Consider the following 25,963-nt stretch of genomic DNA (forward strand, 5'->3'; position numbering starts at 1 on the left):
AGGAATGCAAGTTCAGAAATGGAGGGGTGGAGGGGCTGTGGGAGTCAGGGAAGACTTCCAGGAAAAGGTGATGGCTCAGTTGGCTTTTGAAGAATTCAGCAGGCTAGGAGCCAAGAAGCTTGCAGGGTGCTGTGTTCACAGCAGAGCCTGCTCAGTCAGGCTGCTCCTCTGGTGGTTGTCTCTATGCCAGAGGTCCCCAACTCTCGGTACCAGGCTACACACCAGGAGGTCAGCAGCCGGGAGCTGCCGGAGCTCCGCCTCCTGTCAGATCAGCAGCGGCATTAAATTCTTATAGGAGCACAAACCCTGTGTGAACTGCGCATGTGAGGGATCTAGGTTGCATGTTCCTTATGAGAAGCTAATGCCTGATGATCTGAGGTGGAAAAGTTTCATCCCAAAACCATTTCCCACCCCACCCCCGGTCTGTGGGAAAATTGTCTTCCAAGAAACTGGTCCCTGGTGGCAAAAAGATTGGGGACCGTTGGTCTATGGGATGTAGCACTGCTGGCAAGCAATCCTAAGAAATGATATTTACCATATCAGAAGAACCTGGAGGGGGAAGCTGCAGGCTGAACAGATGTCCCAGCCCTGCAGGAGAAACACCTGCCTCCTGATCCTGGCATTCAGCACTCTTCATGTCCTGGCCACCCCCCTCCCTCTGCTCTCCCATTCCCATGTCCCCTCCTGACCATCGTGGGGTCACAGAGGACTCCTCACACGACCCTCCTGGGCTTGGCCAGGACCTAGTGCGCTCACCACACCCCCTTTCTTCACACACCCATGAACATTTAAAAAAATGTTTTTCAGCTGCCATAAGCATTCATTCACCCCTGTGAGTATTGCCAGCTTCCTCCAGTTCCTGTGCCTATGCCCAGCTCCACCCTGTGCTGTGGGGCCAGTGACTTGACTTCTGTAAGCTCCAGTTTCCTCACGTGTAAAGGGAAAGGACCCACTTCCAGAGTTTGCTATGGGGCATGAACAACAGGCCTGGCCTCAGGGCCACTCTGTGTGGCTGTGTGAGTAGGGGCAGGAAGGGAGAGAAAGGAGGGGGCACATTCTAGGGAGGGAAGTCTCTGGGCTGCAGGATAGATTTACATGTCTGTGCCTCGTCTTGGAAGTATGGTGGTCATGCTCGTTGCTGACAAAGCCCAGTGCCGGGGGGAGAGCTGGCAGCTGTCCCCTGCTACAAGAAGCCTCTGACCTAGCCCTTTTGGCATTTCTTCCAGTGTCCCAGGGTCAACGGTGTCAAGGCACACACTAATACGTGCAACCGAAGACGTGTGACTGTGGACCTGCAGATCTGGTGAGCTCTATCGGGCTGGGTATGGGCTTCGGGGTGCAGGGGACACAGTGGGAACAGCCAGTTTGAAGATGGAGTAGTATATATATACTCTGACTTGGGATGTGGAACCCCTCACAGGACCCTCCCCTCCTCCCAGCTTCTCCCATCCCCTGGCATACTCTGGGTTCCAAGGCCCAGGCAGCAGAGCTTTCTTGGAAGGCTAGACCTGGGTCACTTGGAGAGTCAGACCAGCTGCCTCAGAGAGGATGTGTCTAGTGGGAGCAAGTGTGATAAGAAGATGTGAAGTCCATTGGTGAGGCCCAGGGAGTTCCAAGCACAGGCTGTGAGAGGTCAGCTGGAGACCTGGGCTCTGCGGCACCTCAGGAAAATAGAGAATGCAAAGACACATAAGTGACTAGTTCAGGGGGTTGGGCAAGGATATCTCTTTGAAATGAGGTTCATAATGGGTGTGAGTCAGGAAGGAGGGAGATTCAGTCCAGGAAGCCTTCCTGGAAGTGGCAAGATTTGAATTGCACTTTAAAAGACAAAGGACCAACTCCTGAGGATCCAGAGTGTTGCCATTCCTTTCCCATGTCTCATTCTGCCCTTAGCCTAGAGGCTGGCACTGACAGCATGTTGGGAAGATAGGAGCTAGTTCTTCGGACCGCCCATCCCCATTTAGGGGCTGGTCCCAAGTGGGTTGGGATGGTGACAGGCTATCAGGTGCTCCCAGCCCCTGGGGCGCTGCCACAAGGTCCTTGTAGGAATAGTCAGGGCACATCGAGGTTGTGTGGCCCACTCAGCTGCCCAGGCAGCCCCCGGGGTCCCCATCTTCCCCGTCTGGCTCACTCCTGCCCTTTCAAGAGGCACTCGGTTTTTGCGATTTGTGACATTGGGCTCCTCTGCCTGTGCCCTGCACATGTGTGCTGGCTGCCCCTCTCCCTTCCCTGAGTCTCCTTCAGTGCTTTCACAGGATCTGCTGATCTTTACCCTCAAGGGCACCCATTCTGGGCTCCCTGTGCCCATCACCTGGCGAGAGCCACTGGGTGGACTTGGGCTTCTGTGCTGAAGCCTGACGCCTTGTTACCTTTGCCCACCTCCACCAGCCCCAGCAGCACCTGGGATGTAAGCAGTGGGGGCTGCTTCTGTGTCCCCATGAAAGACACCTGGGCAGAGATGGGACAGGGGGACAGCAGGGGTGGAAAAGTGGGCAGCGTGTTTACCAAGAGCCCCTCCTTTTCATCTTCAGGGTATCGTGGGGTGAGGTGAGTGCCTGGAATCACTGCTCTCATGGTCAGAGATGAGGATATGCCTGGGATACCTGAATGCAGGGACCCACAGGGGCTGCCTCCTGGGGTCTGGGCTTGGATCAGGGTCTGGGTCAGGTCTGAGCAGAGCTGAGAAAGGCTGAGGCTACTAGGCCATGTGCCCAGTGCATAGAGCTCAGGGTCGGCAACTGGCTGCCTGGGCTCCGGCTGTGTGACACTGGGCAAGTTTCCCAACCTTTCTGAGCAAGTGGACCTACCCCTCCTCCCCACCTTCCTTTTCCACCCCCCATTTCAGCTACATCGGGGACTGTGAGATCAGTGTGGAGCTGCAGAAGATTCAGGCTGGTGTGAACGGGATCCAGGTGGGTGGAGCCCGGTGGGGCTGCCTCTGTTCCAGCCCCCAGGGTGGGGATCAGGGAAGGGGAAGCCAGGTCATGCCAGAGTAGGCCGCAGAAGGTGGTGGCAACACTAAACACAGAGGATGGTGACTACGGAGGAGCTGTAGGCCTGAGGTCACATGGCCAGGAAGTGGTGGCTGGGCTTCACCAACCCACTACTGTGCTCTAGAGACCCCAGCCTCATCTGACTGCAAAGGCCCTGGGAGAGGCTTTGGCTGCCTGGCGAGGAGAGAGATGGTGTTCATGGAGCGATGGAAAGCCATTGCTTAGAGACTGAGGTGGACCCAGGAGGTGAAAATAACTCTCGGCAGGAGTAGAAGAGCTGATTTGGGCCTGGAAATCATTCCTGGGTTCCTGCTGGCTGGGCCAGCCCAAAACTTGGCAAAGGCTATAGGTCTCTCAGGCCAGCACACCCGTGGAAGGCAGTGGGGCCAGCTCAGGGCCCCTTGGTAGCTGGCAAGAGGTGGCAGCTGTGTCCAGGCCTCAGCACCTTAAGTACGGTTCCTGCTGTGAGAGCAGGCAGCTTGGGGCAGGTGGCCCTGACATGTGGGGCAGCGTGGGCATGAAATGAGGCAGCAGATGGCCTCAGCTGAGCCCAGCAGGCATGGGGAGAAAGTAGGCCTGGGCCCCTCACGGGCCCTCTGTGCCTATCCAGTTGCAGGGCACCCTGCGGGTCATCCTGGAGCCCCTCCTAGTGGACAAGCCCTTTGTGGGAGCCGTGACTGTGTTCTTCCTTCAGAAGCCGGTGAGTCCCAAGGACTGCGGTAAGCCTGCTGCTCCCTGGGAGTAGGCACTGGTCTGCTGGGCCCTAGACATTGGGTTTGAGTCCAAGAATGGACATTGTCCCAGCCCACTGAGACCTGGGCAGTCACACTCCTTATCTCATTTAATCCTTAAGACAGCTCGAGTTAGACTCTGCCCTCCCTAAGATGAGGCAGCTAAGCTCAGAGAAGGTCACACAGATGGTCTGAATTGGAGCCGAGGCTCAAACTCAGAGCTTTCAAAGTCCAGGCCAGCCTGTGGCCATGTGGACGATCCTACTCCTGTAGGGGTTCTGCCTGGGAAGCAGCAGGTTCCACAGCCCCTGCCCCATCCTGAGCTGAGGCCTGGGCCCTCGATACCGCTAGATGCCTGAGCTGGGCTGGGGGGTGGCCTCGCCTGCCTGACACCCTGGCAGAGGGTGCTCTGCCTGCTTTCCTCCGAACCCCCACCCTGGAAGGCTGGGTTCTCCATTCACATGGGTGTGAGGCTCTTGGCAGGGGGTTCTCAGCCCTGGGCTCCCAACCCTTTCCAGCCTAATAGCTTCCCTCTGCCCCTGAAGCACCTACAGATCAACTGGACTGGCCTGACCAACCTGCTGGATGCGCCGGGAATCAAGTAGGTGCCTGGGAGAGCCTCGAGGGAGATCATAAGTTTGGGGGCCTCCAGGGCTCTGCAGCCAGTGACAGGAGCTGTGCAATGGTGGTGCTTTCCCTCCTGGTGCTCTCTGCAGAGGGAGAAGCATTGGTCTGTTTGGAGTGGGAGGCTAAGGGTGTTGTGTGGCCTCTGTGGGTGGGCACTGTGCCCAGCACACCCCCCGCCCACACCACACACACACACCACACACCACACCCATGTAGTGGGCAAGAAGTGCTTTGCTGAGTGTTGGGCTGACGTTCAGGTCCCCGTCCTGGTGCAGGGGGAGAGTGGCTCTGTCTGCTGAGATGTGGTCTGAGGGGAGGCTGTGTGGCTCTGGAACCAGAGGCAGCCAGCTCCTGGCTCTGTCACTGAGCAACTGAGTGAATGTGGAGAAGTTGCTTCACTTCTCTGGGCTCTTCCTCAGTAAAAGGGGAGCCTGGTTCCTCTGCCTTGGGTCCCTCGGAGGACACTCAGCTGTGTGGTGGTGGCACATTGGGTGTGGACACACGAGTGTCCTTTCTTCCTCACTGCACCCCTTCCAAACCAAGTGTGTGGTGAGAAGCCGATGTGACTTCCCCTGACCGTGGTCACAAACATAGGCATGGAAGGGGCACTGTCACAACAGAGGCCAGTGAGGAGTAGCTGGTCCTGGAGATCTCACCATCTGGGGGCAAGTGAAGGCTGCTCTCAGAGCCCCAGGCCCCATGAGAGGAGCAGAGAAAGGCACCAGCCCCACTGGACACACCTCCCCAGGAGGAAGGGACATTTGGACTGGTCAGGGCTGGCACCAGCTGGCTCATCAGACTCAGGGGAGGGCTGCTGACTCGCTCATTCACTGACATCTGCATGGATCTCACCCACACTGGACAAAGGGAATCCAGGCATGCATTCTTTTATTCAAAAAGTATTTACACCGTGCCAGCCCTGTTCCAGGCACCATCCCTGTCCCCCGGTATCAGGAGGTGGAGTCAGGCAATGAACAAACAACCCCAGGAATACGCATTATTAGCTCCAGGTTAGAGGTGAGGATGCTGAGGTCCAGAGAGGTTAGCGACTTGCCAAGGCTACACAGCTAGTCGATGGTGGAGCTGAGATTCTAACACAGGCTTCAGCCTTGCTCTTAGCCACTGTGCTGTGTGACCTCCAAGAACAAAGTAGCCTGGAGGCAGAGGGAGTTGGGGACGTGTAGGTGGGAGGACTGCTGTTGAGATAGAATGTCAGGGGCTGTCACGATGTATAGGCACACCCACCCCTACCCAGGCAAGTGGGGTCAGGGCTGTTCTCTAGGTGGGGCCCACCCTACCAATCTGGGCTCCTGGTTCCTGCTAGGGATGGAGTGGCAGGTGGCATGGGGGAGGCAGTGCCACCCCTCCACAGCTGGTCCTGCCTTGTGTCCAGTGATGTGTCAGACAGCTTACTGGAGGACCTCATTGCCACCCACCTGGTGCTGCCCAACCGTGTGACTGTGCCTGTGAAGAAGGGGCTGGATCTGACCAACCTGCGCTTCCCTCTGCCCTGTGTGAGTACCCAGTACTAGCCACAGACCAGCCTGCTGGGAGGCAGCGCAAATATCCTCTCAGCCTTCACATGTGGTGCATTGGCTTTATTTCACACTAATGCTTGACAGTCCCAGAAAAATGGTACAAACACCATCGCCCACGTCATAATTACTAAAGACATTTTGTCCTTGGGGTGTATCCCACTTGGGAGGTAGTGTCAAATTTACTGCATTCTAAACTTACTTGGAATATTTCCTCTGTTTGTGACAACTGACCATGAATATTTACATTGACTTGTTTCATTCTGGTCTCCATTTTTAGGGTTTTATACCTTAACTTCCTTTTACAATTATGTAAAGTAGTTGTACATTTCCAAAGTCCAATTAAAAAACAAATTACATTTTAAGGAGTCTGGCTTCTATCCCTTGTTCCCTCCACCTACTCCCCACCCTTCACTTATAAGTCATGGTTTATCCTTCCATTTTATTGATTGATTGGGTCTTGCTCTGTTGCCTAGCCAGGCTGGAGTGCAGTGGCACAATCACAGCTCACTGCAGCCTCCACCTCCTGGGCTCAAGCAATCCTCCTACCTCAGCTTTCCGAGTAGCTGGGACTACAGGCGTGCACTACCACGCCTGGCTAATTTTTGTATTTTTTGTAGAGACAGAGTTTTGCCACGTTGGCCAGGCTGGTCTCAAACTCCTGGGCTCAAGTGATCTGCCCGCCTCAGCCTCCCAAAGTGCTGGGATTACAGGCATGAGCCACCACACCTGTCCTTTGTTACTTAATATGAACAAATACATATATATGGTCGTATGACACATATTTGCTTATATTCAAATTCCCCCTTTCTTCGATAGATGGCAGCATAGTAGAGTTTTCCCCAGCATGCTTTTTTTTGGGCGGTGGGTGTGAAGGGAGGTGGTGGCGGGGAGTCTTGCTCTGTGGCCCAGGCTGAAATGCAGTGGCGTGATCTTGGCTTACTGCAACCTCTGTCTCCTAGGTTCAAGTGATTCTCCAGCCTCAGCCTTCTGAGTAGCTGGGACTACAGGGGCACACCACCAAGCCTGGCTAATTTTTGTATTTTTAGTAGAGACCGGGTTTCACCATGTTGGCGAGGCTGGTCTCGAACTTCTGACCTCAGGTGATCCACCCACTTTGGCCTCCCAAAGTGCTGGAATTACAGGCGTGAGCACTGTGCCTGGCCCCCAGTGTGCTTTTAACACTGAGTATGTCATGAGGATCATGCTATGACAGTGTAGATTAGAGATCTTCCACATTCTTTTTAAGAGCTCCAAAGTACTTCACTATGGGAATGTACTGAAGTTTATTCAACACAGTTCCTATTGATGGACCATTATGTTGTGTTGGGTCTTTCACTATTACAAATAGTAGTGTAATGAATAGCCTTGCATACATGTCTTTTTATATTTTTGCTAGTATGCCCTTGGGATAGATTCCTAGAAATGGGATTTCTGGGTCAAAGAGTAAATGCATGTGTATTTACTAATGTTAAAAAAATTCTAGGAAGGAGATATATCTCAAAACCCATGAACTATGCCTTTCCTAATTCCTGTGCTCCAGTCTTTATTAACAGAGTTATATCTCTTTCATTTCCTTTTAAACATCTATTCATGCAAGTGTAGGGAGGGGGTCTGCCCTGTAGTACAGTCCAGAATGTGGTGGGGATGAGGCTCAGTGTTGGGGCCTTTAGGAGTGCAGGTACCTACTGTCAGCAGCTGGCAGTGCCCACAGGGGCCAGGAGAAGGGATGCTAGGACTCCCTTGTTGGAGTCTACATGTAGGACACACAACAGAGGGGTCTGGAGTAAAGGAGGAAGCTTCCTTAGGTGTCATGATTGTTGGCACAGGAGGGAGACAGATAGCTGCAGTTGAATAAGCCATTCATGTGGCAGTTTGGAGGCAGGGAGTGTGGAGGCCAGGGCTGTGGGCAGGGCATACTGATGGAGAGAGCCCTGCCATCACTTGCTGTGTGGCCTTGGCCAGGTCACTGCCGTATCTGGCTTCTATCTCCTGGTCCAGACCGTGGAGGGGGCAATATGGGGGCAGCAGTGATCTCTGATGGTTTTAGCTCTGATACTCCAGGACTTGGAGGCCCCAGGAAGCAGCTGTGAGCCCTGGGCTTGGACATTTTCCAGGGGGTGATCAGAGTGCACTTGCTGGAGGCAGAGCAGCTGGCCCAGAAGGACAACTTTCTGGGGCTCCGAGGCAAGTCAGATCCCTACGCCAAGGTGAGCATCGGCCTACAGCATTTCCGGAGTAGGACCATCTACAGGAACCTGAACCCCACCTGGAACGAAGTGTTTGAGGTAAGGGTCTCCTTGGCTGCTTCTAGCCTTCACTCTGAGTCATGCTGGGCAGAGGCAATCCAGGGGCAACACTAGGCAGGGAGTGGGCCTTGGAGACAGGCAGGTCTGTGGAATTCCTGCTCCTGTATCTACCAGGCTTCCAGACTGGGTTACTCTGGCCCGACTAAAGGGCCAGCCTGAAGGCAAATTCCTACCTCCTTTCCCCTTCCAACTTTGTTAGAAGTTAACAAATCAAAGAGAAAGAGCCTTAGAGGCATTTCTGCTCCACTCTTCTCAGCTTCCCCTGTCAGAGCCAAACATCAGGAGCCTGAAGTTATTCCTTAAGTTCAACCACAATCCCTACTATTTGAAGGGTGGGACCCACAGCCTGTTAAGCCCCCCAGATTACACGCTCCAGGAGCCACATCTTAGGTGACCCCTCTCAACTTCTCCTCTCAATATACCATCTGGATGCTCTGTTACGTTTGGGGTGAGGCAGTGAAAGCAGGGGTGCTAAAAGGCAGCTTGGGGCTTCCTGATATTGTAGACTCACGGAGGGGCCAGGAGAATGTAACGAACAGGTGCTCAGGACACCGCATGGCCCATGCAGAACAAACAGCCACTGTCCCCTGGGCACCTGCTCTGCCATGGCTTGCACATGTTTTCTCTAATCTTCTCTTCCCCCCGAAGGGGAGGGGCTTCACTCCCTTCTTATGGGTGGGGTTCTTGAGGCACTGAGGGGGTCAGGAACCTGCTAGCGTTCTGAGCCATGATTTGGCTCCCTTTGGGTCATATGTCAGGTCGACTGTTGCCTGCAGGTCAAGACACCTCTTTTTCCTTCCAGTTCATGGTGTACGAAGTCCCTGGACAGGACCTGGAGGTAGACCTGTATGATGAGGATACCGACAGGGATGACTTCCTGGGCAGGTGAGGAGGAGGGCGCACAGCTGGGCCTGGAGGCAGCCTTCCCTCCCTGCGGGGTGCTGGGCTAGATACCCTGCTCCTACCACTTAATGACTAGCAACCCGCTGTGGTCACCCTGACATAGTGACTGTGCCAGGCAACCTGCCTCACCATTCTACATTCCTACCACAAACCTTCCCAGATGTCTCCCAAGTGCCCAGCCCTGACCTAGGCCCTGGGGGGTACAGAGAGGACCCCAAGATTTGTATATTACGGCTTTGCTTTCTGTCTTCCTGATAATATACCAAGTCCCCATTTGGAGTAGTAGACAAGGCTGGCATGGATGGCCAGATGCTCAGTCCCAAGGAACCCTGGGCCATGCTCTAGGGGGTAGAACCCAGCCCTTCAGGGGTATGAGAGGACTAAAATGATCAGGGTGGGGCTGGCTATCAAAATTTAAAACTTACATGTATTTTGGTCCAGCAGTCCCACTTCCAGGATCTCCTATAAAATAAAAGCCCTAGTATCTGAAATGTTTATTGCAGAACTATCCATAGAAGAAAAAGAACACCCCCATCCCCTAAATGAATATCTAACCTCAGAGAACACTGGCTGAATGTTTGAATACATTTTCCATTGCCAAACTACAGAATATTCTGCAGCTCTGAAAAACAAGTGGAATCTCTGTGTATTAACCTGGAGGACACCCATTATGAAGTGGGGGAGAGCAGCTGGGCATAACATGTCATTTGAGTCATCATCTGGGAGAGGAACCTTGAATGCGTATTTTTGCATGTGTTCATGTTAGCAGAGAAAGGCAGGCTGTTAACACCGCTTATCTCAGATGAGGAAGCAGAAAAGGCAGGTTTACCCAAATCTTCAGATTGCTGTGTTGTTTAGCTTGTTTCCAAGATCATGTAATTTTGAAAAGTAGAAACAAAACAAACTGGGAGGGGGCACAATCTGACAGTTTCAGAAACAAGCAGAATCTATGTGTATTATTAGCCTGGATGTTAATACACATAGATTCACCACCAGATGTTGCTTATCATTTTTTATTTTTATCTTAATGAAAACAGTTGCAATTTTTGTAATGTTGCAGATTAGAAGTGTGGCTTGTGGGTCATGCTTTATGTATTAGTAACTGATTTCAGGTGTGTTTTGAGCTTAAGCATGTTTCTTACAGTTATATAGAATTACATTTTCCCCTCTGGCTGTCAGGACCTTCTGGTTGGGCTTGGCTCAGGGTGAGTTAGGGGCAAGCTGAGGTGTGGGTGTTACCTCCTCTCACACACACATGCTGTGTTAGTCCATATTTTATTGCTATAAAGGATACCAGAGGCCAGGTAATTTATAAAGAAAAGAGAGTTTTCTGGCTCATGGTTCTGCAGGCTGTACATGAAGCATAGTGCCAGCATTTACTCAGGGCAGAAGGTGAAGAGGGATCAGGTATGTCACATGGCAAGAGAGAAGGGAGCAACAGGAGTGAGGATGTCCCCGCTTCTTTTTAACAACCAGATCTTGCATGAGCTCATTACTGTGGGGAGGGCACCAAGCCATTCATGAGGGATCTGCCCCCATGACCCAAACACCTCTCACTAGGCCCCGCCCACCTTTAACGTATGGGGATCACATTTCAACATGAGATTTGGAGGGGACAGACATCCAAACTACATCACATGCCAACTATACTTTCCCTTGTAGGGCACCTGGGGTAGATTTGGAAATGAAGGGGCATTTGGGGTTATTGACATGACTGTGAGAGGTGGTTCTTCTGGCATTTAAAGGGTACAGGACCAGGAGGCCAAATTTCTGCAATGCATGGGTAGTTTTGCACAATGAAGAATCATCCCACCCAAAATGCTAGTCGCACTGTCACTGAGAAATCCAGAGGTGATGTGTCCAGCAGCCTCTGCTTGTCCCCTGTGGGGATGGGAGCCCCCTTCCTCCCCAAGTAGCACACCCAGTGGGAGCAGCCCTGATGGTAGTTAGTCTTTCCTTCACTCGAGCTGATGGTGGTCTCCCATTGGTTCCTTGGGGTAAGATCCTCTGTCTTAATGGCCGCACTCAGATATCTGAAAACAGAGTCCAGTGTGGGCCTCCATGCCCTCTGCTGCTTTCTTCCTCTGAGCTGACCCAATCCCCTCTCCCTGTATATTCCAGCCTGCAGATCTGCCTTGGAGATGTCATGACCAACAGAGTGGTGGATGAGGTACAGTTGGTGCTTGCAACCCTCGGGGGAGTTTCAAGGTAGCCCTTTCCTGTGGACAGCTCCAGCAGCTTGCTTCAGCCCAGCTATTCCTATGCTGTGGTCCCCCTCTGTGCTAGGCTCCATCCTCAGGGCAAGAGCTGGGTGAGGCACAGATGGCTCCAGGGTATTCTCCAGGGCCCCAGCTGGAAGAAGTTTCCCTGGGAAATACCCACAGATTAAGGACCCCAGCAGGGGACAGTCACATTATAGGGGAGGGCAGGCTGGGCCTGGGTTTTTTTTAATCCCACAGTGTAGCACTTCTGTCTTCCTATAACCACATCTCCCAGTCCCTCTGAGCCCAGAGCATACCCTGTCTGGGCTGGTCCACCTTTTCCCATACTAGGACAGGTTTCCCTGTCCCTACTAGGATGCCAGGTCTCAGGACTGGGCTGCCCAGAGAGCATCAGTAGCATCTCCCTGGCCCTTTTCCCTGAGCTTTCTGCCCCTACCCCACAGTGGTTTGTCCTGAATGACACAACCAGCGGGCGGCTGCACCTGCGGCTGGAGTGGCTTTCATTGCTTACTGACCAAGAAGTTCTGACTGAGGTGAGTGTGGGGTGTCAAGGGCTCCCTTGCAGAAAGGTGGAGGAGCACACGTGCCAGGTGTGTGCAGGTGGAGGAAGGGTGGGAGATGATGCCCCCTTCTTGCTCACCTCCTGAAGAACATGTCACTCAGCCCGTCTCCACACAGGGCAGCTCCTGATAGCTCTCAGCAAATGTCCTCTGAGCATCTCCATCATCTTTAGATGATGGGGTCCTTAGAACTCTGTGTCAATGCCTGTCCTCCCAGTTCATAGGGAAATCCACTCAGTGTCTAACTTGAATCTGTCATGCACCAGTTATAGTCTTAACCTCAACAAAATGCTAGGTTGTGAGAGGTCCTCCGGCAGCTAGTCTGGAGTGTGAAGGCTAGCTGGCTTTCTTCTGCCATGAGTAGGCTTCTCCAAAATCAGTCTTTGTGTCCTGCTGCTGGGAGTACCCAGTGAGGGTCTGTGTCTGTTTGCAGGACCATGGTGGCCTTTCCACTGCCATTCTCGTGGTCTTCTTGGAGAGTGCCTGCAACTTGCCGGTGAGTGGCGACATGTCCAGAGTGTCACACAAACGCAACAAAGTGCCCATCACTTTCAAATTGTCCTGTGTTGCTTTAACCCCGTTATTCCTGTGCTGCAGAGAAACCCTTTTGACTACCTGAATGGTGAATATCGAGCCAAAAAACTCTCCAGGTTTGCCAGAGTGAGTGAGTATGTGGCTAAAAACTCCAGGGAGGGCAAATCACAGCTTCTCTCCCCAGAGTAACCACAACCCCATGTCTTCTGGGCCACAGTCTGTGCACACACAGCCTGGGGATAACAAGAGGTGCTGATTGTGGAGTCTACTGTGTGCCAGGCACTAGGCTTGGCAACTCATCCCCCACATTTGTTATCCCTGAGTCTCATGATGACTGTGTCATTCATTTTTATTACCATTTTCTGGGTCACACAGCTAAGAGGAGGAGCCAGATTCCACACTGTTTTCATAGCCCCAGGGAACGAGAGCCTGTGCCTGGCCAGGCCCAGCTCTGGCTTCTGGTCTTTTAACTTGGAACTGCTTTCTGGGGTTGGTCCTGTCCTGGGGCTCGCACAGTAATGACAGCCCAGGGGGACTGGGGCATTAGAGTAGCTTTCTCTCAAAGAGAAGTAACTGGGTGGCCCCAGTTCCCCCAGATGCTCCTGGGGGTTGGGGGTAGGACTGTCTCAAGCTGATATTGACTATGCCACCTTCACTGTTATGGATTTGATTCCTCACAGAACAAGGTCAGCAAAGACCCTTCTTCCTATGTCAAACTATCTGTAGGCAAGAAGACACATACAAGTAAGGTAAGACAGCTTGGTGTGTAGCCCTGGGGTAAGGAAACAAGGACCCAGCCCTTCTCAGGGAGAGAGGCAAAAGGGAGGGGAATTAACTTATGGTGAATGCCTAGTAGGCACTTGATGTTATTTAGTCTTCAGAATAACCTCACAAAATAGTTTTATAATTCAAGAATCTGAGGATCAGAGATAAATGACTTGACCAAGGACACAGAACTAGGGTTCAAGCTTGGGCATGGTTCTGAAGCCCATGTCCTTTCCACCAATCATGAATTTTCTCAGTCCAGCAGCAGAAATCCTGTTGGCCTCTCCTCTCCTGAAGTGAGCTCTAAGGCCAATATGATTTTCAGCTCCCCCGTAAAAATTCCTGGCAAACCACTCCCTGCCTTTGAGTGTTGTCCCGTCCTAGTGCCTCCCACTAGCTGTAGCGTGTTTGGGTCTGATCCCAGGGCATATAGGTAAGGTTCCCAATGGTACCTGGTGGCCAGAGTGATAGCAGAGGGTGCCGGTATCCAGCTCTGCCCAACCTAACCCTTCAATGATCTCTCCCTCTTCTGTTCCCAGACCTGTCCCCACAACAAGGACCCTGTGTGGAGCCAGGTGTTCTCCTTCTTTGTGCACAATGTGGCCACTGAGCGGCTCCATCTGAAGGTTTGATGGAAGAAGGGCTCTTGAAACAGAGTTAAGAGGTTTTTAAGCCAGGCGGGCTGGGAAGCTTGAAGTGCACCTTGAGCAGGTTCTCCTGGCAGCGTTTAAAGTCAGCCCCTTGTATGTAAGAGAGGACACTGAGGCCCCACAAGGCCTCATCTCCTTAAGGCTAGTGCCTGAGGTCACTGTATAGGGGGATGTGGGAGGATAAATCCTCAAGTCCCTTGACTTTCCCTGCAAAAGGGTCTTTATATTTGCTACACAGTACCCAGAGCAGCCTATCTACACAGGACATTAATAATGGTGTACTTTAAAAAATATATGTTTCATTTAATCTTCACAAAAGATCTGTAGAGTAAGCAAAGAGAGGCAAAAACAATGTCTTGTCCAAGATCTCATGACCAACAAGTGGTGGAGCTGGGATCTTTTAGGGCCCTGAGCCCTGCCTGGAGAGCAGCACAGCTCATCAGTCCCCAAAGCCCCCTGGCTCTGGGCATTTGACAGACTAGCTCATACAGATCATAATTGCCTCTACTCTGAGTCACTATCTTCCCTGACAGAAGACAAGGACCAGGTCTGGCCTGATCCCATTCTAGTTTTCAGAATAGGACCAGATGCCCATAGAAGCACAGTACAGACTGAAGTAAACCCAAACTTGGCTGGGGCTCAGATACTAGTAGTGGAGTGGTGGGGCTTGGTTATCCTCTTGTTTTGTGACTGGACCACTGCCCAGGTGCTTGATGATGACCAGGAGTGTGCTCTGGGAATGCTGGAGGTCCCCCTGTGCCAGATCCTCCCCTATGCTGACCTCACTCTTGAGCAGCGCTTTCAGCTGGACCACTCAGGCCTGGACAGCCTCATCTCCATGAGGCTGGTGCTTCGGGTAAATCTCTCCGGTCCCCTGGGGGAGGGGAGGAATAGAGCTCTGGCAATGGAGCAAGGTGTACTGCCCCAGCACTAAGCACCTGCTGTGTGCCTGGAAGAAGCCAGGAGATGGATTCATGTTTTTCATCAATTTTGAAATACTGAATGGGAGCAAGTCAATATTCAAAGAGATACAGGCTCTTCAAATATTGCCTCTCCTCCATTCTTCTTAAATTCCTCTCTCTAGAATTTTCTATAATGTACCTTCTCATCTATCCTCCATGTCTCTTGACCTCAACTAAATATTTCCCTTCTCTGTATTCATGGTGGTACATTCTAATTCTCTCAAGAGCTATCTTCCAGGCCACTAATTCTTTGGCTATGCCTAGTTTGCTGTTTAACCTGTTCATAGTTTTTTCAATGGTGGTTTTTCATTTCTATTTTTATCTTTTCCAAATCTATTTGGTATTTTCTCATAGAATTTTATTATCTTCTCATGTTTATATTCCATCTTTGGTCATTTGAAAATATGTTACAATGTATTAATATGTATGTTCTATTATTTGAAGATCTTGGGAGTTAAATTTTGATGTTTGTTTTGTCTGTTGATGCTTTTTGATGGTGACTCATTTCTGTTTTATAACTTGGATTGCAAACATATGTTCAGTGTTCCTTTATGACCTGGATCGAGGTTGTTCTCTTCCAAGGAGCTTCTGCTTTTGCTGCAGCTCAGTACCTCAGGTGCATTACAAACTTGAGTCCATTTTTGTGTATATTTCTTAACTTTGGGTTTCAAGATCCCATAGGTAGCTCATATTTATACTCAAAATTCATATGAGGACAGGCCTATGAGGTGCCATGTTATTAGGAAAGACTTTATCCCCTCAACCAGAGTACAGGCTGTGGCAAACACATGTTCTTGTCATCAGTCTTTGCTGGTAGGCCGAATAATTTTTATCCTAAACTACTTTTTTAACTAAAGAGATCCCACCTTCATGGGTCTTCCCTTCAGCTCCTAGCCTCACAGCCTCTTCTAACTCCCTGAATTCCAAGGTTGATATACAACCCTAGGAAAGCTTAACTTATTTTTCAGATTTTTTCTTTTTTTAACAGAATTATCCTTATTTTCTTGTGAATTTGGCTATGCATTTCAAAGGATGTTTGCTTCATTTTATTTGGCATTTCTAACAAGTTTTTCAGAATATTTGGAACACCATATGTATTACTGGAAATGGAAGTTCCCTAGGAAGGGTCTTTATAATTCACAACTGAGGGGAAAGGGGGAACGGGAAACAATGGCTGAGGTTGTGGAAGTGGTGACTCAGCTCATAAGCCACCCTCTTATCTGCTTGCAGTTCCTGCAAGTGGAGGAACGAGAGCTGGGGAGCCCATACACAGGACCTGAAGCCCTAAAGAAAGGCCCTCTGCTCATCAAGAAAGTGGCTACCAACCAGGGTCCCAAAGCCCAACCTCAGGAAGAAGGCCCTACAGATTTGCCATGTCCCCCAGACCCTGCTTCTGATACTAAGGACGTATCCAGGAGTACCACAACCACCACCAGTGCTACCACCGTTGCCACTGAGCCCACATCCCAAGAGACAGGCCCAGAGCCTAAAGGCAAGGACAGTGCCAAAAGGTTCTGTGAGCCCATCGGGGAGAAGAAGAGTCCAGCCACCATCTTCCTGACTGTCCCAGGTCCCCACTCTCCAGGGCCCATCAAGTCACCCAGACCCATGAAATGCCCTGCCTCCCCATTCGCATGGCCGCCCAAGAGGCTGGCTCCCAGCATGTCCTCGCTCAACTCCTTGGCCTCTTCTTGCTTTGACCTGGCAGATATCAGCCTCAACATTGAGTATGCACCTCTCTGCTTAATCTTTTCTAAAATCGCCTGTATGAAAAATACCTCGCTGGATGGAAAAGTAGATATGAACTTACATTTCTGTGCAAGTTGTTTTTTCACAAAATATCTTCCTAAGAGGCAGCATGGTGTGGTAGAAAGAACACAGGACAAGGGAGAGAGAGCCAAACAGGCTGTTTATGGCTCTAGCTGCGTACTGACTATAAAATAGATGCTGGACTCTGGTTGGTAAGGTCCCTTCCAGCAGAACCATTGAGTTATACTGGGATGACATGGAAAGCTTAATATGTAGAATTATGTAATAAATGGCTGTCATTTATGAAGGGTTTACTATGGGCTTAGCATGTTACCTGATTTAATTCAACCTTCACAATAACCCTACAAGATGGAACTATCATAAAAGTTTAATAAATTCATCCAAGGTCCCAAAAGGAATCATGATACAAAGGCAGATTCCACTTCAGGGTTCCCGTTCTTCCTACTATGAAGTAGGATAATTATACATGAATGCTGGATGGAACTGAATTCCATCTGAAAGTAAACTCACTGTGAATTATTATCCTACATGGCTCTATACTCCTCAAGCAGGAATGCTTCTTTGTCTTTGGGGGTGGCGGAAGAGGGCCAATGCTTGTTATGGCGAGAGAAGTGATGGGCTCTTTCTTTACAGAGGTGGGGACCTCAGGCGACGGCAGCTGGGTGAGATTCAGCTCACAGTGCGCTATGTGTGTCTGCGGCGCTGCCTCAGCGTGCTAATCAATGGCTGCAGGTAAAGGGATTCTAGGGCCAGGGAGGTCCTTTGGGAGCATCAGGTGACCATAAATCAGAGTAGGGACACTCAGAGCAATGAAAAGGGCACATAGTCCCAAGATAAATAACACTTTGGGGGAAAAATGAGATTTGAAGGCCTGAACACTGTAATCAAGTCCTCAAAGGGGCACTTTGGCCATCATTCTTCAGTGATGCTGATGGGCTCAAGAGCCAAGGGCTTTGCTCAGACGCAACCACTGCAAGACTGTCTGGAGTGGCTGGTAGCCAGTACATTTTCCAAGTGAGAATCTCAAACTTCCCTTAGAAGGAAAGTACTTGCTCTACTCCAAGCATTATAAAGATGCGTGTTATCAAAAACATTCATCTGATATTTTGTCCTCTAAATTCTACAGGCTATTACTTTTGATCATCAGGACCACTGAGCATTTTTATCCTTAAGCGTATCTAATGCTGAATGGCTAATATAGCCTTCTCTCAAATGTTTGAAGTGTTTGAAACTCTCAAACACTGAAACTCTCAAATGTTCAGTGTTTGAAAACCAGGGCCCTTTTTTTTTTTTCCTAATGTCTTTGACACCAAATCAGAAACCTAACACCATGTACCAGCAGTGGAGCTGATCCCTACGTCCGTGTCTACTTGTTGCCAGAAAGGAAGTGGGCATGTCGTAAGAAGACTTCAGTGAAGCGGAAGACCTTGGAACCCCTGTTTGATGAGACGTAAGTGGGCTGGTGGCCTGCCTAGAGTGCCTCACCCATTCAAGTATTTTCCAAGTACCTGTTATGTTGCCTGGCAGCCTGCCAGATGCTGGAAGGGGCTATGGCTGAACAAGACAACATAGTCTATGACTTCATGAAGCTTCTGTACGTTAGTGGGGAAAATGGAGTGCCAGAGAAGTTTATCAAAATGGCCACCTACATTTACTGCTCATAGAGGCTAAAGTGTTCCTGAATATGGAATGTTCCCTACTCTTTCTGTTTAAATGAAGTCTCTCTGGTAGTAAAAAGATTTGAATGTTCAAATATTTTTTTGATCTGTTTTAATTCCAGCAGTTAAACATTCCTTGAGCCTGAGGACCTAAAGTTTCCTCTAAAGCTTGAAGCTCTTTGGCCTGTCTTCCCTCCTGCAACAAAACATAGGTGATGGGTAGAGGAGATACCCTCCCCTTCTCCACAAAGGCTTGTCCACCTATGTCCTTGGGGACAAGGGTGACTCTAATCACATTAATTGCTTTTGATGGGCCAGTGGTGGCAAGTCTCATCCCAAATATTTTTATTCTTAGAAGTCTGAATCTCATCAGCGTGTACCTTCTGCTTCAGGGTTCTAAAAAGACATTTCTAGCCAGCTTAGGAAAATATTACATCTCATAATTTTCCTGGCCAATAACTTTTTTAAAAAGGGTTACACTGAGTCCTCTTTGGGCCATATCTAAGAACTATTATGTTCCTTCAAGAGCTACACTTTGAGTTCATCAGTATCAAGAAAAGGGTATGAGGAAGAGAGACTATTCATTCAACATTTACTGAATGCTTTATGCCAGGCAGCATCCTATACTCTAGAGCCACACAAGTAAGAGATTTTGCCTTCAAAGGGAGCTCTGACATAATTATAAAAAGATGTCAAAATTGTGGTGTGGTAGCTACTACGTGGCTAAGGGATTAAAAAAAATTATGTGGGAATATATGAGGGAAGAGGTTTAACATTTGACTTTGACTTTTGTGACAAACCTAAATCTGTTACTAATTCTCAAAAGTATGACAGCAAGATAAGCCTGGACTATCTGGAAGGCAGAGTTGGCAGCCTCCACCCTAAAAATAAACCTAAAAGTAAGAGGTTTCCTCTGCCTTACTCCATAGGAGGTGGCCACTGTTTTCCATGCAACTGTAGCAAACCTAACTGCTCAGTGTTCTAGCCCTTAGCTGGTAAGAAAAAAACTGAGAAGGGGGTTGAGGTGGTCCTGTGAATAGGTACTGTTCAGGGTGAGGAGGGCCAGCTAAAAGAGTGGTAGCCAGGGGCAGGTGTGGTGGCTCACGCCTGTAATCCCAGCACTTTGGGAGGCTGCGGCAGGCAGATTATCTGAGGTCGGGAGTTTGAGACCAGCCTGACCAACATGGTGAAACCCTGTCTCTACTAAAAACACAAAAAATTAGCCAGGTGTGGTGGTGCATGCCTGTAATCCCAGCTACTCGGGAGGCTGAGGCAGAATTGATTGAACCCAGGAGGCAGAGGTTGCGGTGAGCCAAGATCGCGCCATTGCACTCCAGCCTGGGCGACAGAGCGAAACTCCGTCTCAAAAAGAAGAGTGGTAGCAAAGGTAGAATTGGAGAAAGATAGATGCAAACTAAGCCACAGCAGTCTGAGGCACTTCTAGGCAAACAGCCTCTTAATACTTCTGGATTTTGTGAACAACACTGGACAGTGATTATTTGTAATAATGATACATCGTGAGTAGTTATGAGCCAGTCCTGCTCTAGGTGCTCCTAATAGTCTGTACCTTTCTGTTTTAGTAGGGAAATGGATGAAGCACTTTAGATTTTCAAGAAAACTGAATGAAATGCATAATTCTCACTTCCTTTTTGCTTCCTAAAGATTTGAATTTTTTGTTCCCATGGAAGAAGTAAAGAAGAGGTCACTAGATGTTGCAGTGAAAAATAGTAGGCCACTTGGCTCACACAGAAGAAAGGAGTTAGGAAAAGTAAGTACAAGAGATATTTGATATACCAAGGAGATTATGATCAATTCGCCTTATCCCAATTTCTTTCCTTAATGCAGTGTTTTGGAGGGGAACTAATTATTTGTGATTATTTAGGTACTGATTGACTTATCAAAAGAAGATCTGATTAAGGGCTTTTCACAATGGTAAGTGTGCCCTTTCATTTTATCACTGTTATCCTGCTATTCAAGACAGTTTTCCCTTTTCAGTACTGTTTCAGCTCCTTTGGTTATCAAGAAGGGAGGGAGATGAACACCTTTATTTAAGGCTTTACTGCCTGCAGATCTCACTGATACCCTAAAAGACACCTGTAAACTCTAGCCTTAACCCTGAACCCTGGCTGGCCAACTTACAGAGAGACAGGTTCTGCTGGTCTTACAGAGGCCCAGGCAGGCAGGACTAGGCAGTTTGTCCTGTTACCACAACACACTGTCATTACTAACGTTAAGTCCAAACGTAACTGTCTTACAGGTATGAGCTGACTCCAAATGGACAGCCCAGAAGCTGATGATGAGAATTCTTATCACTCACCTTTATATTAAAATGTATATATATGTATATATTTTTTCCTTTGGATCACTTACATCCAATATATGTATATTTTGTCATTTAAATCAGAACAACCACTTGAAATTATATACATACAATTCTTGTGTGGAATTTAACTCCATGACTGAATAGCATAAGGAAGAGGTTATTTAAAAGCAAGAACTACTTTTTTTGGTTGGATTTTTTTGTTCAAGTCCAGAAAGAAATGTTATATTTGTGCCTACTAAATTATCCAAACCTCAGTGTTTATATACTTAAACAAGTGCCACTTTTTAGTAGGTAATTATATACCATCTGATTTAGGACTTACCTGAATGTATGTACCAGAAAGTGTCCTGCCTCTGGCATAGGGGCTGGGGGAGGTCTGTTTCTGGAGCCACTACCAGCATTCCTGGGCAGTGACTGGCCAAAGGGAAGTCACTTTTTTATGGAAATAGAAAGTGACCCAACTCAAAACTGCCAAGAGCTAACACTGCCAAAGCCCTTCTGGCTGCCACCTGTGGTACTTGTATGCCTGGATATTTGTTCTTTTATTTGACCTGGAGCTAAAAATGTATTTCCCTACTGGCAAAAATGTTATACTGATATACTTAAATACCTTGAGTTAAATACTCTTGTGTAGTCTAAGGGCCAAACTCCAGCGTGTAGCATTATTTCCATAGGAAAATGCAAACCAAGTTCCAAGCCCAGGTCTATGTCTGACTCTCATAGCAAAGCACTGGAGACTGCTGAAGAGTGTCACCATCAGAGAAAAGGAAGCTTTCAGATAAGTTTAGGCTATTCAACTTTTCTAAAGAGATGGTTGGTTCACCTAAATAACATGTTAAAAGCAAAGTATTAAATTATATGCTTAAACAAGCGCCTCTTTTACATTTCAGACTTTACAAGACCAAATATACTTCTCATCCCCTCCAACATTCCTGGACCTCCTCTTCTCTCTTACCAACACCAACACTACCTGCCGTCAGTTTTCTGTCTCTGCCTCTGCCTTCACTGCCACTTTTCTGAAGCAGGGCAACATTCGAGAACAAAGTTTTGTCATGTTACTCTTATTCCAGTTTCCTGCCATCTGATTCACATGCAGATGTTCTATTCCAGAGTAGTCCAAATACTATGCTCTGCTGACTCAAGTCATGTCTCAAACCTATTTCCTCTATTAAGTAAGTCAGTCAATCCATAGTGAAATGGACTCTTCCTACCGCCTGTAGCATTTACTGTTGATACTGAGTATTTTCCATTTTAATAGTTCCCAGCCTTTATAACACTAAGTTTTAAGAAATGTTGATTAGGCATCTGCTAAGGTTACATGCTAAGCAGCTACTTATATTGTATTTGGTATTTAATTTTGTTTATTCTCCAGTTGAACAGTAGGGAACAATTCAAGCTACTTGAATTGTTTTTCACCCTCACCATCCAAGACCGTGTTAAGTACATAGAAGATGCATGGTGAAATTCGTTTCTGCTGAGGTTTCTATTTTAAATGGCAAATTCTCATAATAAAATGGAGCATTGATGCCTACCCTGTCTACCTTATGATGGCATTCTAATTGCCCCCTAAATAGACAAGTGCCTTGAAAATGGAGAAGCACCAGAGAAATAAGGGAATGTATCATATGTACATCGAAACATTAGCAACCCTAAAACAGCTAATCAAAATGGCAGATAAGTGAAAACCTACCCCTCTTCTTCCAAACTTAAACCACAAACATTTATTTTAAACGTGGTCAATTGAACCGTTTTTACCTGTGTCAGGCAACACAGGTAAATACCTGGTGATGGTCTGAAGAGGAGTTAAAATGTTGAAGGGAACCAGAATTTTAGTACACAGCAGACAGGAGGCAAGGTTATATAGGCGCTGTGTGAGGGGCAGGGAGCCTGAAAAGTTGTTAATACCTTGGCTGCCACTGAGGACAAGAATTGGTTTTCAGCAGTGGGTGGAAACAATCAGCTAATATGCAGGAGCATAGGGTCTGAAGTTAACATCATCTTGGTACAGAAACCCCCAAACCTAAGACGGAATGTGAATATTGGTTTAGAACCTGGAAGCCTGTGAAGCCTTGATGGAGGCAACCATAAAATTGGCCCCACAGGGTTGCCACTCCCATCCAGGGCACATATGCGACAACTGCAGCAGATGGCTGTCACTAAAGGGAAACTCACGGGCAAAAATAAATTATGAAACAAAACAAAAACAGACTTTAAAAAAAATACAAAGTACACAGGAATATCAAACTGAAAAATAGCCATAGATAATATTTCAGCCAGAAGGAAAATGTACCAGTAAGGCAGAAATAGCATGTGAGAAGCAGTGGAAAGCAAAGAAATCCATAAAATACATTGGCAAACCTAAGCAAGTTTTGATGATGATTGTTCACAAGATATAAACAAATAACCAAAGATTTTTGCAAGGGTTCAGAAACATAGTAGAACTAAAATGTTAGTACTAACAACTAAGAAGGGGCAGCTAGGCTGATTAAGAAAGTAAGTATTCAAGACCATATCTTATTTAGGAAGCTAAAGATACTCATCTTAAAAATATAACTGTGTCAGTCACTAATTCATTACCTCTCAGCTTCAAATTGACGTCTGTCTCCTTTGCTGCTTTCCCGGCAGGCTGATGTTTGGCTTTGCCAATAGGGGGCGATGGAAGGACACTCTATAGCAGGAAGAAGGGGCTTTTCTTCTGATGTTTTCCATGGCTGCTAGCTAATTGGCATACAGAGCTGTTCTCAATCAATCACCTAAGTACCCCCACAGTTTACCCTTGGCTCATGGCCTTCATGTTTTATCAGCAGGCAACACCTTTTGGCAAGTTTCTTAGCCACAAGTGGGTTGCATGGTCCTATGGCTGCCAGCGGAAATCTAAATCTCAGCCTGGTAGGGAGGCACTTAGTTTCTAACTTCCTTTCTTGTTCACTCTCCCTTACCCCTGGGGGTAAGGATCTGCATCCTGAAGTTGATATTCTGTATCCCCTAGAGTCCACTTCTACCCCGTTTAGTAGTAAATACAAGAATTGCTAACTAGTAAAAGGTGGTTAAGTTTTTCATGTTTGGTTACCTGTGCAATGTGGTTTCTGTCTCCTAAGTATGTATTCAAAATTGCAAGATAACTATGAAAATAGAGTAATAGCAGAAAGCCAATAAAGTTGATATATACAACTTCCAAATTAGCAGTGAAGAAGAAAAGGTTATAAAGAAAAATCAACCCTGCAAAACGTAGGAGGGGAAAGCAAAGACATAGTAGACAATACAAAAGATGGTCAAGATACGTCTAAATATATTTGTAATTACAATAAACAACACTATTAAAATCTAGAATGTCAAAAGTAAAAAGCAGTTATATGCTGTTTATAAGAGGTTCACATGAAACAGAAATGTTGAAAGTAAAAAGATTAAAAGATCCATCCAAGAATCATTTAGATTTCTGTTTATATTAATGGCAGCAAACAATATATTAAGAAACAGATGCTCCCTATTGCCACTTCTGTTCAACAATGTATTGCAGCCTGAGTAATAATAGGGCAAAAATAGGTACATCTAACCAAAACTTCTATGTGCAGATGATATGATCATGAGCATGAAATCCAAGATAATCTAAATTGCTAGAATTAACCAGAAAGTCTTCAGCAAGCTTGCTTGATACAATGTTAAAAAAACTGTAGTTCTGTTCCCTAAGAGAAAATAAGTGCATAAAAATATCAATCTATATGAATACATTCAACAACCCCTATAAGAAAACTAAAACTTTTTAAATAAATGTTAAACCTAAAATGGAGAGCTATGCCACGTTTGAGGTTGGAAAACCCAACAAATGCCATTTCTCTCCAAATTAATTATATGTTTAATGAAAGCCCAATAAATCAACAGGTTGTGTGTGTAACTTGATAAGCAGATTCAATGTACATGGAACTACAAAAGGTAGAAAGCCGCCTACTCAACGCCAAAGTTCATTTTCAAGCTGTAATAACTAAGACAGAATGGTACTAGTGCAGGGAGCCAACTGGGCCAAAAGAACAGAAAAGAGCCCAGAAACAGACCCATTCACATATACTCAATTTATGACAGAGGTAGCACTGTGAACAAAGGGAAAAGATAGACTTTTCAATAAAAGGTGCTGGGACAATTGGATATTCATGTGAGAAAATACGAAATGGTCCTTTACTCATATCACATTAAAAAATCAATCAACTCCAGGTATATTAGACTGTGTAAAGCAAAACTATACAGCTGTAAGATAATATAGGAGAATAATTTCACAACTTGTGACTAAGGCAAGATTTCATAACACGCAAAGAGCACTAACTAAAAGACCACACATCTCTCCGTGAAAATTAGGTACTTCTGTTCATAAAAATAAACTATAGGCTGGTGCGGTGGCACACACTTTTAGTCCCAACTACTTGGAAGGCCGAGGTGGGAGGGACCACTTGAGCCCAGGTGTTCAAAGGCCAGCCTGGGCAACACAGTGAGATCCCATCTTTTTTTTTTTGAGATGGAGTCTCGCTCTGTCACCCAGGCTGGAGTGCAGTGGCATGATCTCAGCTCACTGCAACCTCTGCTTCCTGGGTTCAAGTGATTCTCCTGCCTCAGCCTCCTCAGTAGCTGGGACTACAGGCACATGCCACCATGCCAGGCTAATTTTTTGTATTTTTAGCAGAGACAGGGTTTCACTGTGTTAGCCAAGATGGTCTCGATCTCCTGACCTCGTGATCTGCCCGCCTCGGCCTCGCAAAGTGCTGGGATTACAGGCATGAGCCACCACGCCCGGCCGAGATCCCATCTCTTTAAAAAACAAAAAACAAAAAACAAACAAAAAAAACACTATGGGAGGGCCGGACACGGTGGCTCACACCTGTAATCCCAGCACTTTGGGAGGTCAAGGCAGGCGGATCACGAGGTCAGGAGATGGAGACCATCCTGGCTAACACAGTGAAACTCCACCTCTGCTAAAAATACAAAAAATTAGCAGGGCATGGTGGCACGCGCCTGTAGTCCCAGCTACTCAGGAGGCTGAGGCAGGAGAATCACTTGAACCCGGGAGGCGGAGGTTGCAGTGAGCCGAGATCCTGCCACTGCATGTCTCAAAAAAAAAAAAAAAACAAGAAAACAAAAACAAACACTATGGGAAAATGGAAAGATAGGTCACAGAATGGAAGAAGACATTTGTAACACATATAGCTGTCAAAGTGCTCATGTCCAGAATATATAAGTAACTTTTACAAATTACTAAGTTAATCCAATAGAAAAATGGGCAAAAGACACAGAAGCACTTCAAAAATGACATACAAAAGTCCAATAAACAAAGGAAAAGTTGCTTCATTAGTGATCATCAGGGAAATAAATAATATTAAAACGACAATAATAGCTCTATACATTGGCAAAAAGGATGTGGCAAAGTGGGAGGTTTCA

The 25,963-nt window shown here is 47.6% G+C and overlaps 1 protein-coding gene across 8 annotated transcripts in view; it reads left to right on the forward strand.

Moving 5' to 3' along the window:
* The window catches only part of ESYT3 (extended synaptotagmin 3), a 47,071-nt gene extending 21,726 nt beyond the window's left edge, over positions 1 to 25,345 (forward strand). For 2 of the 8 annotated variants that reach the window (NM_031913.5, XM_017007307.2), the window contains exons 4-23: positions 1,227 to 1,303; positions 2,846 to 2,912; positions 3,604 to 3,693; positions 4,270 to 4,325; positions 5,745 to 5,865; positions 8,004 to 8,174; positions 8,998 to 9,080; positions 11,220 to 11,268; positions 11,764 to 11,853; positions 12,314 to 12,376; positions 12,478 to 12,540; positions 13,095 to 13,163; positions 13,719 to 13,805; positions 14,536 to 14,685; positions 16,022 to 16,518; positions 17,195 to 17,293; positions 17,880 to 18,011; positions 19,882 to 19,987; positions 20,102 to 20,151; positions 20,477 to 23,584. In NM_031913.5, the coding sequence (NP_114119.2) occupies positions 1,227 to 1,303; positions 2,846 to 2,912; positions 3,604 to 3,693; positions 4,270 to 4,325; positions 5,745 to 5,865; positions 8,004 to 8,174; positions 8,998 to 9,080; positions 11,220 to 11,268; positions 11,764 to 11,853; positions 12,314 to 12,376; positions 12,478 to 12,540; positions 13,095 to 13,163; positions 13,719 to 13,805; positions 14,536 to 14,685; positions 16,022 to 16,518; positions 17,195 to 17,293; positions 17,880 to 18,011; positions 19,882 to 19,987; positions 20,102 to 20,151; positions 20,477 to 20,513 (2,157 nt within the window). In that variant the 3' untranslated portion in view covers positions 20,514 to 23,584. Of the gene's footprint in view, positions 1 to 1,226; positions 1,304 to 2,845; positions 2,913 to 3,603; positions 3,694 to 4,269; positions 4,326 to 5,744; positions 5,866 to 8,003; positions 8,175 to 8,997; positions 9,081 to 11,219; positions 11,269 to 11,763; positions 11,854 to 12,313; positions 12,377 to 12,477; positions 12,545 to 13,094; positions 13,813 to 14,535; positions 14,686 to 16,021; positions 16,753 to 17,194; positions 17,294 to 17,879; positions 18,012 to 19,881; positions 19,988 to 20,101; positions 20,152 to 20,476 lie in introns of those variants that run through there. The other 6 variants (NM_001322831.2, NR_136409.2, NM_001322834.2 and 3 more) reach the window with 6 other exon arrangements.
* Positions 25,346 to 25,963: the final 618 nt, after the last annotated feature.

Source organism: Homo sapiens, chromosome 3 (genome assembly GCF_000001405.40).
Source record: "Homo sapiens chromosome 3, GRCh38.p14 Primary Assembly".
Lineage (NCBI taxonomy): Eukaryota > Metazoa > Chordata > Mammalia > Primates > Hominidae > Homo > Homo sapiens.